Source organism: Homo sapiens, chromosome 3 (genome assembly GCF_000001405.40).
Source record: "Homo sapiens chromosome 3, GRCh38.p14 Primary Assembly".
Taxonomy (NCBI): Eukaryota; Metazoa; Chordata; class Mammalia; order Primates; family Hominidae; genus Homo; species Homo sapiens.
Genome location: NC_000003.12, coordinates 178830640 through 178846548, shown reverse-complemented (window position 1 = coordinate 178846548; position 15909 = coordinate 178830640). Strand labels below are relative to the sequence as shown.

General features: G+C 36.4%; 1 protein-coding gene and 1 long non-coding RNA gene across 6 annotated transcripts in view; one reads left to right on the top strand and one right to left on the bottom strand.

Moving 5' to 3' along the window:
• Positions 1 to 15909, top strand: part of KCNMB2-AS1 (KCNMB2 antisense RNA 1) — a 334939-nt gene that overhangs the window by 13857 nt on the left and 305173 nt on the right. The gene's annotated exons all lie outside the window — the stretch shown is intronic.
• Positions 2120 to 15909, bottom strand: part of KCNMB2 (potassium calcium-activated channel subfamily M regulatory beta subunit 2) — a 307994-nt gene continuing 294204 nt past the window's right edge. For all 4 annotated transcript variants that reach the window (XM_011512325.3, NM_181361.3, NM_005832.5 and 1 more), the window contains one exon: positions 2120 to 3896. In XM_011512325.3, coding sequence (XP_011510627.1) covers positions 3612 to 3896 — 285 coding nt within the window. In that variant the 3' untranslated portion in view covers positions 2120 to 3611. The remainder of the gene's footprint in view (positions 3897 to 15909) is intronic.

The following is a 15909-nucleotide window of genomic DNA, read 5'->3' as shown; positions in this document are numbered from 1 at the left end:
CCATCTAGTAGATTACAAAGGCATTCTTAAAATATAAGGCAGGGTTATATACTTTGTATTATTTCTTACAGTTACTTCAAATATGGAAAGGTGGAACAGATTCAACGTAGAAGTTATTTCTTCAGTCCTGCTGTGCATATCATGCTGACAAACTTTTCAGGGGAGTCCTGAAACTATTTCTTGAGTCTACTTTCCTACATGATCCATACATCGAAGTGGTTATTGTAGAACTGTGACTGTTCTTACTAAATTATTTTACAAGGGAGAGAGAAAAGAGCAGAAGTTAAGAAGAGAAGGAACAGTGTCTACCCTTTAATCATCCCTTCTTCCTTATACGGACAATGAGAACTACCTTACTTACTTAACCATTGTTCATTTCAGTGTTTTGGTGGGGGAGGGAGGAAATTTAACTATGCTTGTATTAGAACAAACCATTGCTTTAAAATTATTGTTTTAACTCACTTGAGTCAATTACTCATATTGTTTTGCTAGCCTGCTGGTCTCATTTTTAATGCCAGTGGAATGATTACAGTGTTAAGATGTTTCACCCACAGAAATGTGGTAAGAAATTTATGGCTTGACATTCTGAAAATAATATTTGCTTTATAAATGCCATGCATTCACAGCATGGCCAACATGGTCATTCACAGCAATGGGAAACGGTAGCCTGCTGGAACTCTACATGTCACGTGGTCTACATAAGAGGTATTTTATGATTGCCTACACTGTTATTACCAGTGTCAGCTAGTGTTTTGCCAGTAGCTTTCTACAGAATCATATATTTATTATAGCTATTTGCAAGCAATCATTGGTGCATTTACCATTCCTGGGTTTTAATACAATTGCAACTCAGAGAATCTGAAATCAATTAAGTTTTAGATGGGGTGTGCCAATTGGATAATGAAAGTGATTTGGAAGTGTAGACGTTTATACCATTTAGGGAAGTCATTCTTGATGAATCATATGGAGATCAGAGCTCTGCTTCTAGCAGATGGAAATATAGCTTTAGGGCTTAAAAATGAAAGACTTACTAGGAATATCAATAGAAAAGCTGTTTTTCAATCCATAGATTAATATATACAGATTCTGTTTGAGAATCAGACCTGTGCTCTGAAGGTTAGCAAATGGTATTCATTCCTCTTTCCACATACCTAGGATGGAATGTTCGTGTTAAAAGGGACCTTGATGATCAGCTGACTTCACCTCCTAATTTTACAGTCAAAGAAGTCAAAAGACTAATTGAGAACTTTAAAGTCATCTAGTCACCGTATCTCCAATGAAGTCTTTGACTTCCAGTTCAATGCTTTTTCTTCACTCCTGTAATCTTTTCCAAGCCTCAGAATCCCCCTGTGTTATCTAAAAGATGCCAAAGTCATGGAAATGGTCACCATAGCAGGAAAACTACAGACTGTTTTCTTAGCTCTTCACCATCTTAGTATGTGCATAGCCTTGGGGAAATTATTTAACATCTCTGAGCTTCAACATTCTCATCTGTAGGATGAGATAATAATAATACCTCGCCCAACAGAGTTGTTAAATAATGAAATTAGTTAACATGTGCAAAGCATTTAAAACATTATTAGTCCCAGATCTTTCTCTTTTAATAATGAGCATTAATTGTATATATATCTAAATTTCTTGAAGGGGCTGTTGCTATGTTGGGATTCTAGAAGGCAGCAGTTAATCTCTTTTTGGTGTCATTATTTAAAAATTTCTACATTGTTATCTTAAACATTATTTGGGAATTTTTAATGAAAATTCAGAATTAAGTAAAAATAAAGTAACCCATCTGATAATTTCACTCACATATATTTCACCCTTGGATCACTCGAAGGGAAGCCTAAGGAACATTAAAGACAGCACATTTTCAGCTCTATAGTCTCAAATATTTCTTTAGTATCTTCAGAATTATATGTTTTAAAGTAGAGTAGAAATAAAAGAGTTTTTCATCCTATTTTTCAAATGGTCACAGCATTATGTGTATGTGTTTGGGTGTTAAAAAAAGAAACTTTCTTTGTAATCACTCAAAATATTTTTAAAGGTATTGAAATACAAATTTTTGGACTACCATGGGCTTGTCAGCTCAGAATGCAAGAAGTATTCAAATCTTGCAATTTAATAGATTTTTTTTAAAAAAATTTAATTACACATTTGAAGTCCTGATTACATCCTAGGGATTTATTTGCTTATGAAAAGTCAAACTATGAATTACAATATTGCAGAATAATTTTCCATTTCATCAGATTAGTTTTACCATTCATTCCACAAATGATTTGTAAAATTTTGCATTACCTAAAAAACTTTGATACTACATTACAAAAAGGTACTTAAATATAGATGAGAAAGATAGATGTTTGTCTTCTTCTTTTGATATTGATATTAAATGAAAGATGGAATGTTTTTTATTTAAAATCAATCCCTCGTATTTTCCCCCAAACACAAAAGTAAATAGCAATGTGAACAAAGGCTTTCTTTAAGTCTGTTATTCAGTTCAAATATGTGTTAGAAAAAAGATCTATTCTGTGTATAAAATATAACAACAAAAAAGGGAATTATAAATAGAAAAATAAAACATGTAGAAGAGACTAATATTCTGTGCACATAGCTTTAAAATCCCAATAGGGAATGCTTGTCAGAAGGAGATACTACACATTCATTGACTTAAGCACAAATTCACAAAGAGCAATATTCCAACACATTAATTTGCCACAACACATTTACCCATTGAAACCAGTCCACCAATTTTTACCAACAAGTAGCATCTTAATTTTACCATCTAATGGTTAAATTGAAGTGAAATAAAGATTTCCACACAAATATCAGTAACACAGACTTTCCTGGATTGTAATGGAGCACCTACCAACATTCAGTCAGCTCACAGGTAATGACACTCCTTGTAAGTATCATCTCTTCACACAGTAGCAGGGTCTTAAATGGAAAAGGGGTGTGTTCATTTTCTACATAAATCACAGGAAGATATTATAGAACTGGCTAATGAAAACAGCTTATATTTTGGAAATTAGTTTTACAAATCTGAAGTTATGAATAAAAAGTGATGAAAAAAAGTAGCTGGCTGGGTTTCCCCTCTTCTTTACAGTGATATGGTAAAAAATACAAGAAAAGTACCTAACTTCCTTTAATTAGGAAATCTGGTCCCTTCACTTGCTATAGGGCTCAGTTTAGAATAAGAAAAAAAAATATTTTTGGCTGTAGCTTTAGTAAACAATAAGTGATGAAAAATATTGTCTTCAAGAGATCTGACAACTCAGAACACAGACTTTATCACATTGATGTCACCTACATTCCTCCACGAAGCTTGGCAAATGAATAACTGAGCCCTGTTTTGGCGGAATGAGAGAAGAAAGTACTAGTTCCAGTACAGAAATAAGATTATGAAAACCACCAACCAACACAAAACAGTTATTTATTCTCCTGAATAATAAAGACATCATGTTTGCATATAGAACAGCTTTTGCATTATTGCTCTACATATAAGAATATATTAGGGAACTCATAACAGACTGCACGTTACAAACTTAAGGTTCTTTGGTGAAGAATGAAAGAAAACAGTATTTGAGCTTTAACAAAAATTATTTTATCCATTTTTGCATTTATCTATTGATCCGTTGGATCCTCTCACATAGTAGGGAGAGGTACTGTGTAAGTTTCACCATGGCAACAATTGCCACACCCCCAGCCATCATACAGGTTGGCCAGAAGAGTGAATGGAACAGCACGTTGGAACTGTAGAGTTTTGTTAGGATAACACTCTTCTGGTTTCCTTCTGGGTCAGAATAGCAGGAGAAGTGTTGATACTTCCTGAAGTTTTCCATGACAACATTCACCAGGGACATGGATTCTTCAAAATTTTTTCCACATTTAGGTATATAGGAGCACTGTGGAGAATAAGATAAACTGTTACTAGAAGATACTATGTGTGTTTGAGACTCTAGGAGGGGGTGGAGTATTGTGTCCAAATTAGTGATCTGTGAAATAACCATGGTGGTTATTCTTTTCATATTCAAACTGGTGCCTTTGGAAACCCTAATAAATAACACATTGATTAAAACAATGTTTTAAGGTATCTGACCAAGATGTCCCTTGATTGCTCACCCATATATTATTTATTGATTGAAATAAAATGATAGATATGTTAATTAGCTTGATTTAATCATTCCATGTTGCATGCGTAAAATAAATTAAATGATTCCCAGGATTCTTTTTGCCATAGCTAGGTATGGTAGGTTTTAATTATTTTCTATTGAACATACTTCTTTATGGAATCAGAATGTCAACTCTGCCATCATTTTGTCTGTCCACATCTGTCCACATAACATAAAAACTTACCAGTTCTCTCAGGGAAAGTAGTATACTCTTATCTTTTTATCTTGGCTTCATTTTATTTGGTTACTTTGCAACTGTCATAAAAAAACAGCTACACTTCTGTTGAATTACTGAAAAAGAAATCTGTAATATGTAGGAATATTGAATAAAGAGCTGAGATGAGTGGGTCAGACCCATTTAGTGTGCCAAAGTAGCTTTTCCTATAAGCCAAGGAAAAATAAAACAGCTTTTCCTATAAGCCAAGGAAGAATAAAACAGTTCTTTAATCACCACTCACCTGAGAACTTATGCTACCTTTCTTTTGATCTTTTCACCTCTCTTTTCTTTGGCTACCTCTTTTACATGTCTCTCCGCTCTGTATTTCTACACACTTTGATATGGTTTGGCTCTGTGTCTCCACCCAAATCTCACTTGAATTGTAATACCATGTATCAGGAGAGGGACCTGGTGGGAGGTGATTGGATCATGGGGGCAGTTTCCCCCATGCTTTTCTTATGACAGTGAGTAAGTTCTCATGAGATTTGATGGTTTAAAACTGTTTGACAGTTCTTCTCTCATGTTCTCTCTCTTGCTTGCCACCATGAGAAGATGTGCCTTGCTTCTCCTTCATTTTCTGCCATGACTGTAAGTTCCCTGAGGCCTTCCCATCCATGTGGAACTGTGAGTTAATTAAACCTTTTTCATTTATAAATTACCCAGTCTCAGGTAGTATCTTTATAACAGTGTGAAAATAGGCTAATACAGAGAATTGGTACCAGGCCAGTGGGGAATTGCTATAAAGATAACTTGAAAATGTGGAAGCCACTTTGGAACTGGGTAACAGGCAGAAGTTGGAACAGTTTGGAGCACTCAGAAGAGGACAGGAAGATGAAGGATAATTTGGAACTTCCTAGAGATTTGTTGAATGGTTTTGAGCAAAATGATGATAGTGATATGGAGAAAGAAGTCTGGAATGAGGTAGTTTCAGATGGAGATGAGTAACTTACTGGGAACTGGAGCAAAGGTTGCACTTACCATGCTTTAGCAAAGAGATTAGCAGCATTTTGTCCCTGCCATAGAAATATGTGGAACTTTGAACTTGAGAGAAATGAATTAGGATATCTGACAGAAGAAATTTCTAACCAGCAAAGCATTCAAGAGGTGACCTGGCTTTTCTTGAAATGTGCAGTTACATGCATTCACAAAGAGATGATTTGAAATTGGAGCTTATGTTTAAAAGCATAAAAATTTGGAAAATGTGCAGCCTGACCATGTTGGTAGAAAAGAAAAACCCATTTTCTGGGGAGAAATTCAAGCTTCCTGCAGAAATTGGCATAAGTAAGGAGGAGCTGAATGTTAATAGCCAACACAATGGGGAAAATGTCTCTAGGTATGTCAGGGATTTTTGTAGCAGCTCTTCCCATCACAGGCCTGGAGGCATTGGAGGGAAAAATGGCCTAGGGCCCTGCTGCTCTGTGCAGCCTTGAGACTTGGTGCCCTGTTTTCCAGCTGCTCCAGCTGTGGCTATAAGGGGTCAATGTACAGCTCAGGCCATTGCTTCAGAGGGTGCAAGCCCCAAGCCTTGGCAGCTTCCAGGTGTTGTTGGGACTGCAGGTGTGCAAAAGAGTTAAGGTTTTGGAACTTCCACCTAGATTTCAGAGGATAGATAGAAATGCCTGGGTGTCCAGGCAGAATTCTGATGTAGGGGTGGAGACCTCATGGAGAACCTCTGCTAGGGCAATGCAGAAGGGAAATATGGGGTTGGAGTTCCCACACAGAATCCCCACTGGGGCACTGCCTAGTGGAGCTGTGAGAAGAGGGCCGCTGTCCTTCAGACCCCAGAAGGATAGATCCACCGACAGCTTGCACTGTGTGCCTAGAAAAGCTGCAGGCACTCAGAGCCAGCCCGGGAAAGCAACTGCAGGGGCTGTATCCTGCAGAACCACACCACAGGGTGAAGCTGCCCAAGGCCTTGGGAACCCATCTCTTGCATCAGTGTGCCCCGAATGTGAGACATGGAGTCAAAGGAGATTATTTTGGAACTTTAAGATTTAATGACTGCCTGTCCAGGTTTTGGACTTGTATGGGGCCTGTGGTCCCTTTGTTTTAGCCAATTTCTCCCATTTGGAATGGGTCTATTTACCCATTGCCTGTACCCCCATTGTATCTTGGAAGTAACTAACTTGCTTTTGATTTTACAGGCTTATAGGCGGAAGGGATTTACCTTATCTCAGATGAGACTTTGGACTTGGAATTTTGAGTTAATGCTGGAATGATTTAAGACTTTGGGGGACTGTTGGGAAGGCATGATTGGTTTTGAAATGTATAAAGGACATGAGATTTGGGAAGAGCCGGGGCAGAATGATATGGTTTGGCTCTGTGTCTCCACCCAAGTCTCATCTCAAATCGTAATTTCCACGTGTCAGGGAAGGACCTGGTGGGAGGTGACTGGATCATGGAGGTGGCTTCCCCATGCTGTTCTCATGATAATGAGTGAGTTCTCATGAGATGTGATGGTTTAAAAGTGTCTGGCAGCCCCCTGGCCCTCATGCTGTCTCTCCTGCCAGTATGAAAAGACATGCCTTGCTTCCCCTTTGCCTTCCATCATGATTGTAAGCTTCCTGATGCCTCCCCAGCCATGCAGAACCATGAGTCAACTAAACCTTTTTCTTTTATAAATTACCCAGTCTCAGTTGTTCTTTCTAGCAGTGTGAAAACAGATTAATACACACTTGTATCTTTGGATTTTGTTTTCTTTTGTATCTCCTCCTTCCTTGCCCTTCCCTCAACCCCCACCTGGCTTTAAATCTTTCTCTCTGTTCCTCTTCCTGTTCACACTTCCCTTTCTCCTCTTTCTTATCTAGATACAGATGGAATTAAATCACTTTTTTGTAGTTTTTCTTTTTATTTTATGTTAGATATAGTTGGACACATTTTTAATTAAAAAAGCTATCTCTGAGGAAATCTCTGTGACTTATTTTCCTTGGTTTATAAATGTGCCATGACAAAACTGATATAATAATGAGGGTTTTTTTTTTTAAGTTTGGAAAAAAGTGATTTAAATCACTTTTCTGGGAGATGTTTGGGTTTTTGGTTAACTCTCTTCTCTATTGGTAAGAACCTCTCAATAGACTTTTTACTGTCCTGCCCCTTATGTAATCAAATGATTAACTTATCTGATTTATCAGAATTAAATTGGTTTCTGACAGAATCACTGCTTATCTATACAGTGTTTTAGTGTGAGTTGAAACACTGTGCTCCTTCTTCAAAACATTATAATTTTCAGTTGGAAAATTATCCTAATAAACTTATTTTTTTTATAAAACTCACGTCTTACTGTCATTTACCAATTTTTGCATTGTAACTATAAATATTCACATATATGACTTTTACAATGTGATTGGTACCTCTGTGCAATGCACAACCTCCATGACTATATGCAGAGACACAGATAAGGAAGCGGGTGAACTTTGAGGTACATTGATATAGGTTTTGGGGTAGAAGCCTGAAATTTCAGAAAAATTTAGACCAGTAGATTTCCCAGGAACAAAGTATTTAAAAAACAAAGAGTTTTGGCTAATGAAATATATTTGAATTACTCTTTCCCATGACTTTATCAGTGGGCACACAGGCACCTTGCTTTTTTTTTTTTTTTGCTGAGCTGTAGTCATTGAATTATTTGACTATAAACAGCAGGAAGTTTCTTTGATTAGTTAAGAATGGAGGATGAGCATGCTGGCATTTATCGTAAACCACGTTTAATGTGCTGTTCTTGTAGCAAGGTCTGGTTGACACCTTAAAATTTAACCAGCTAAGAATAAATGTGAATACATTTGTATAGGTGAGTAGAGCAGAGAATCCCCTGGTACTAGCAAGGCATTAAGGGGGTGAAAGTTATCACCAAGAAAGCAGAATTTTTCAATCAGTTATAATTTAGTATGAAAACTGGACTTTGACTGCCATGAAGCAAATTTCCTACCAGTTAGATGCCTCTGGATCAAAAGGGTGTAAGGCAGTGTGGGAATACCTTTATTTTTGTCCTTCAAAAATGGACATCTTCAAAGATGCCCTGATCATTTCTTTAACATTTTTAGAAATGTTTTTTGAACCAAAGCATTTAAAAAATAACAGACAAACCATTTCTGGTTGAATTTAAACCAAGCCAATTTAGATTATGAATGCTTCAGGTATCTGTATATTTTTGTGCCAAGATAGTTTATAGTAGCAATTTCAGTGGTGAACAGTGCTAAGTTATTGAAATGATCTCAGTAAAAATGGCATTCCATTGAAAGTGAAGTTTTTCCTTTTCTTATGCTTTTGTGAATTGATTCAGCTTAAAAATATAGATTTTTAAAGAAACATTTGTCAGACAAATGGCAATAATTCTGTCACTAGGTAAGATTCTTCATATAAACTACCACTGAGAACATCTGGCAGAACTGTAATACAGGAGCTGGTAATTAAAGTTGAAAGCCATTGGGCTTTCATTGCATGCATGTGGGCTGGATGGATGAGGCATGGTCCATACTTGATTGATTGTGGGACCTCAGGGCCAATGGTACACATATGAGCAACAGACAGATACCAGTGGAGAAAAGGTCCTCTGCCCTGGTGTTTTTAGCTCTTTCTCATCTTGTCATTTTTCAACATACATATAAACCAGCTGTCACTAGACCATTAACTGTCCCTGAAAATGAAAATTCTACTATTTGTCAATCAGTCATGTACTTTTATTATTGATAAGTCCTTTGGTGATCATGAATATATGAGTAGTATAACAAGCTCCTAACTTGTGCTCAGGAGATCTGGTTACTGTGTGACTGTAGGCAAGTTATGTGGCCTCTCAGAATCAATTTTTTTGAAACTATATAATGGGGTTAATAGAGCCTTCATGGCAGGGTTTTTTTTGTGAGGATTAAGTGATGAATATGCATAAAGCCTCAATAAATTTTCATTAACATGTTTTTCTATTGGAATTTCACATTTGTCCACATGATCATCTAAAAGTCGTCAATCAAGCATCACATAATAAACTATGAAATCTCTAAGACGAGAAAATTACTAGCTGCATGGTTTTCACAGAAGCAGTCCTGTTTAATGGCTGTCATCTCATGTCCCTTGCCTTTTTGTCTTAGGAGATTTGCATTGTGCTGAATTCTACACTAGGAGCCTAGGTTTTTGTTTCTGTGGCTCAAATGATAGCCATGAGTATGTTTCTTAGGCAGGTGTGAATTTAGAGTGAAGATTTAGTTATCTTATGATTTTATCATGTGTTCAGAGGGTATTTTTATGTCTTTGGTTTTGAATACATAGAATGCATTTCAATAAACAAAACTTTACTAAGTGAGATATACACTTAGTTGGAAAATGTAATTTAGATAGAAAAAATAAACATCCATCATTTTTAGATCTCTCTTTTTTGGTGGGAGGTGTGGGAACGGGAAGATTTAGCTTTTAGACTCTGTATGATATTTAACAGAAAGAATATATGAGTAATAATTTTATATATACAATATATTTTAGTACTGATAAAAAATATGTTAATATTTTACCATGGCTATAGGTCATTCTTTCTTTTGTGCTTTAACATGTGACTATATAAATCTATCAAACCTCTGAAGCAGCCATTCAGTGGAAGATTTAGACTTACATCTCTCTTAATACTGAGTTTTGTTAATAAAATCTTACTGCTTTTCCCAATCCTTAGATTCTTGACAGACAGAAACTTCTCTTTAGTACTGAAAACCACAGGGATGGACCCATGATCATGCTCTTTCCTTTCCCAGCTGAAAAACCTTGGGTCCTGTCAATGTCTTCTGATCATCCTTTCCCTTACATGGGCAATGAAGGTCCAGCAATTTCATCTTCTCTCCAATTTTTGGGGAACTGACTAAATTTTTTTTTCCTTAGCCTCTCTTCCAGAATCTTTCAGAACAGTTATTTTTATTGTCATGATGGACAGAAGTTTTGAGAATTACCTGTTGGGCTTTTTTTCAGACATGCCTCACTAGGCTTGTGTGAAGCGAAGAGTGACATGCCTTCATCTTAAAAATAAAAGATGTGGGGAAGGGAGGAGGCAGTAAGAAAGTGTTTTTGGCTGAATAACCTCACTGTCAGCCTCCTTTTCCTTGTGATGGTAGGAAGGGAGCTATCCATTTCTCAGATCACTTCAAGGGAAAGGTGTGTTCTTCATTTGCCTTTTTATAAAGAGGGAATTGTCTTATTCTTGAAATGGGGTTAGAAATTTGATAAAATCCGTGCGATATTTGTTGGCTCCAATATACCATGTAGCATGTTATATATAGGTGACAAAAACATAAACAATATAGAATGTATAGCGAAACAGAAAAAAACACAGATGGGTGATGAAATGAATTGAGAATGTGGCTAAAAAGCCTTTCAGTAAAGACTGTACCATCATAGAGGTGGGCCACACATGTACTGTAAAAACTCCTTAGTAACCAGGTCCTAGTCTACAATGTCCATGAAGTAAACAAACAAACAAACAAAAACCAAAAATGGAAAAAAAAACATTGCTCATGTGAAACATAAATATTATTAGTTCCAAAGTCAATGGAACTTTTTCTAGTGTTCCCAAACAATGAATATTGTGCACATATTTATTAAGCATATATAATGTACCAGACTTTGCATTCTATGCTTGAGAATGGGACATAGCTCAAATGTTCAAAGAATGTATAGTTCCCCAGCTGGTAGCCTTGGATTCACAAATATATTTTGAACTTTTGAATTTTTTGAACATTAGTGATAAACAGGTGAGTCGAGAAAGTAAATTGAGACTTCATTTCTTCCCACTCCTTTTGAGACTTCATGCTCTTTACTGTCACTTTTTTAAAAAGTGGATCCTACAACATTTACCTTAGACTTGTTTAGTTTGAACTTCTAGTATCTGCTTGATTTTGGCAAGTGGACCGTTCCAAGTATTTAGTAGTGAAAAGGAAAACAGAATTCACACTGCTATGCATGACTGTTTCTTTCAGTATTGAGACAAAGGTCCCACTACAGAGAGATTTTCCTTTCCTGTATTTGCCCACAGATCTCATATCTATTATGGCACTTCTGCTTGATTTGGAGTAGAGAAGAAACTTGAAAGACCTAGGAAATTGACTAAGGAGATAGAATCTTCTCGGCGCTTTGGGATTAGACAATATCCAGAGAGCTTAAACCATGGAATCCCTAGGATTCTGATGTATCCAATTAGTCCTAAAGTGAGGCTGATATCTAATCTGACCTTGAATCTTCACCATGGCCCTCTGTCTTGGCAATTGAAAAGCACTAGGTTCCTTCCCCCGCTTTTCTTCTTGATGCTCAGTATCAGCTTCTTTCTGGCACATTCTTTCTTTTACTTATACACAAAGGTGCCCTCTTCAGCTGTCCCAGATTCAACTTTGGTAAGGAGTGACTAAACTTTGTCAGTCACAAAGTGTTTCTGAATCTATGGTCTACAGGCAGTTTCAGCAAATGTCTAAGAAATATCTCAAATTTAAGATGCTAATTATGGGATGTCAAATGCCAAATTTCAGGGCATATTCCCCTCCTCCACGCCCCCACTTTTTTTTTAGCCCCTTTCAGGGTAAGCTTCTATCTGTTTAATATCCACTCTACATAAACTGGTGCTGAATATACAGTCCTAATCTTACCTATGGATCACAGATAATTCTATTCCTTGCTCATTGTTTCTTACTTGATCCTAAGTGCCTCTTGGAATAGGATGGAATGGTGTAGATTCTCACCTGTTCACCAAAATATCTATCAGAAGGATAAATAATTCATAGAATTTGGATTTTTCAGAACTCTTGTCTTTATTCTCTCAAGGGGATGCTCTAATGTTTTACTCTTTTAAGAGCAAGCATGATGAAGTAAAAATACTTAGATTTTAATTCAGACATAATTAGTTAGTGAATGTGTAACTCTGGGAAAATTATTTTATTATTCTGAGCTCACCTTCATTATGTGTGGGGAAAAGCCCCACACACACCCAGAGTTAGCAGTGTGTTGTGAGAGTATAGTAGGAGAAACTGAATTTGGATTTTTCTACATCATCAGAACAGATATATAGTATTATGCCATATACCAAAAAATGGGTATAGCTTCCTTTTTTTGCACCAAACTACATTTTTAATCTAACCTCAAATCATAGGGGCATGTTTTGGGAATTCCTGGTGAGTAAAAGAGGTTTTAAACTCCTGAAGGAGATGGGCATTGAGGTATTCACAAGCAACAACCACAGTGAATTAATACTCAGCTGCTGTTTTTTATGATGCTAGTGACAGCCTTGTAGCCAAGGGAGGCAGGGACCCTTGAGCCCTCTTGTAGCTCCCAGAGCCCATTAGTCAGCCAGTGGCTCCAGGAGAGCATGACAGTTTATCAGCTTAAACAGCTTCGGTCATAATGTTGACAAGAGGTTGGGCACTGGGTTTAAAGGCTAAAGAAAAACTATGTGAGAGAGGGTAAAAATGTAAAAATAAAATGCTTTCTACCAAGTTGCAGACAGATTGACTAATATCCTTTCGCCTCCTATTGTCTTAGGACAGTTATTATCAGTAGCGCCTGATGTATCTCAATACAACCATGCCCATTTCTTGGTAACTGTGAGGGAGACCATTATTTTTGGTGAGCTTGGGAAGGATAACAGGAAGGGGAGTTGACGTTGAAAATTGTTTATGTTTTTGCCAGAATTATCTTGAATATTCCTCATTTTGCATGAAGATGGTTTAATGACCTTTTGACATGGAGATAATTGTGTATTTTCAGTGTGTATATTTCAGATTAAAAGCAGAGGCTAGCTTTCTAGAAAGTAAAGAATCACTGGGCCAGGAAAGTGAGCCAAATGTTTGGTGCCTTTTTTCCCTGGGAGCATTTGCTGATTGTGGAAGAGGGGTGAGAGCCCAGGAGGCTAACTGGCATTTTTGACAGCCTTGCAGAGCTATGAGCAGGAATTATGATTGTGGGCCTATCAAGCTGGGGTCTTGATAATTCCCCTATTCACTTTGGGTTGGGATTCTGAAGGGCTGCATCCTGGGAGAATAGTCAGCCTGAAATAGATAGGTCCTCATAGGGACTTCAGTTCAGATTTGAATATCACAGTTTATGAAGTCAGAATGAGGTGATCCTGAATGGCTTGTACCTGGCAGAAGTAAGTGGAAATAATTTTTGGAAAAGATGACATTGTAACATTATCCTAGTATTGAAGTTATTTTTTATAAAAATTTTGCAAATATAATATCAGAAACCTAATAAAACATAGCCAGATATTATAAGACAACATGAAAGCAAACAAGAGAAAACAAAAACAGAACAGGTATATATGGGCTTCAAATAGTGAAGATATCAAAATAGACTTTATAATGACTATAATTTTACTTTTTATGTTGAAAGATTTAAAAGACAATAATTAAAATATTGCAGAGAACTAGAAATGATAAAACAAGACTCAGTTGGATATTCTAGAATTGAAAATACAGTAAGAGAAATTAAGGACTCAATGGATGGGTTTAACAGTTGATCTGCAGAGCAGAGGAAAGAATTGCTGAATTAGAAGATAGGAATGTATCCAGAAAGAAGTAAAGAGAGACAAAAGGAGGGAGAAAAACAAAAGGGAGCATAAGACATGTAGGGGATACAATGAGAAAACCTCGTATGTGGCCAACTGGAGTCCCAGAGGTGAAGAGGCAGAGAATGACTACAGACAATGTTGATGAGATAATGACAGAATTTTCTAAAATTGACAAAGAATATTAAGGAGCAGGGAAAGAAGCCCTGGAAATGCTAATGCTAAGTAGGCTAAATAAAAATAATTGCATGTATTGGCACATAATAGTTAAACTGTAGAAAAACCAATAAAATAATCTTTAAAATAGGCCAAGATTACTTTCAAAGAAGCAGCAATTAGACTGAGGGCTGATTTCTGAATAGTAACAATGCTCACCAGAAGACAATGGAAAAAAAATAGCCAACTTAGAATTTTATACTCAGTGAATGTGTCCTTCCAGAAGAAAAATAAAATGAAAAATGCTTTCAGACAAATGAAAAATGAGAACATTTTTTAGGGATGTCATTGCACTAAAATAAATACTAGTAAAGATGATCCTAGATAGAAGAACAGAGATAAAGGAATACGAATAATAAAAATGGAAAAATGTGGATCCATGTAAATTAACATTGACTATATACAACAACAATAGTAATGTCTACATGAGCTTCAAGTATACATAACATAAAAATGATAATATATAAGTTGGGAAAAGAATAAAAAAGTGGAGTTAAAATGTTTCAGTGTCTTTGATTAGTCAAGATTGCAAGTTGTGAAGTTTTATTTTAGGTTTAGGTGCAGGTTTGTTACATAGGTAAATTGCATGTCACAGGGGCGTGGTGTACAGTTTATTTCACCACCCAGGTAATAAGCATAGTACCCTATGTAGTTTTAAATTCTCACCCTCCTTCCTCCCTCCACACTCAAGCAGGCTTTGGTGTGTGCTTTTTCATTCATTATGTCCATGTGTACTCAATGTTTAGCTACCACTTTTAAGTGAGAATATGTGGTATTTGGTTTTCTGTTCCTGTGTTAGTTTACTTAGCATGATGACCTCCAGCTCCATCCATGGTTGCTGCAAAGGACATGATCTCATTCTTTTTCATGACTGCGTAGTATTATTCCATGGTGTATATGTACCACATTTTCTTTATCCTGTCCACTGTTGATGGGCATTTAGGTTGATTCCATATCTTTGCTATTGTGAGAACTGCTGCCATGAACATACATGTACATGTGTCTTTGTGGCAGAACAATTTGTATTGTTCAGGGTATATACCCAATACTGGGATTGCTGGGATGAATGATAGTTCTGCTTTGTGTTCTCTGAACACAATGGCTGAACCAGTTTACTTTCCCACCAAAAGTGGATAGGCGTTCCTTTTTCTTTGCAACCTCACCATTATCTGTTATTTTTTGACTTTAAAAAGAATAGTAACAGAATAGATAACTTCTGATAAAACAGAGGAAGAAATGAGATTCTAAAAATAATTCAATGAGGAAAAGTGTGATCTCTTCAAAAATGGACTGGAGCACGTGGGTGTCCATATGAAAAAACAAACAAAAAAGAAACTTGATCCATATATAAAAATTAATTCCAGTCAGATTTTACTGTATACATGAAAGGGAAAACAATAGTACACCTAGAATGACATTTAGGAGAATGACTTTATGATATTAGGGTGGACATAAGACTTAAACAGAACAGCAAAAGCACTGAACAGAAAGAAAAAGATTGACAAAATCTGGTTACACTGAAATTAGAAGTTTCTTCCACTGAAAGACATTCAGAGAGTGAAAAGGCCACATAATGCGAGAAGATATTTACAACACATATAACCAACAGAGGTTCATATTTAAATGATTCCTATATTGAATGTAAAGAAGAAACAATTCCACAGAAAAATGGGCAAACAACTTGCACGGACACTGCCCAAAATGGATACCCAAATGGCCAATAAATAAATGAAAAGGCACTTGATAACATTAGTCATCAGAATCATGAGGAAATATCACTACATTAGCTAAATTAA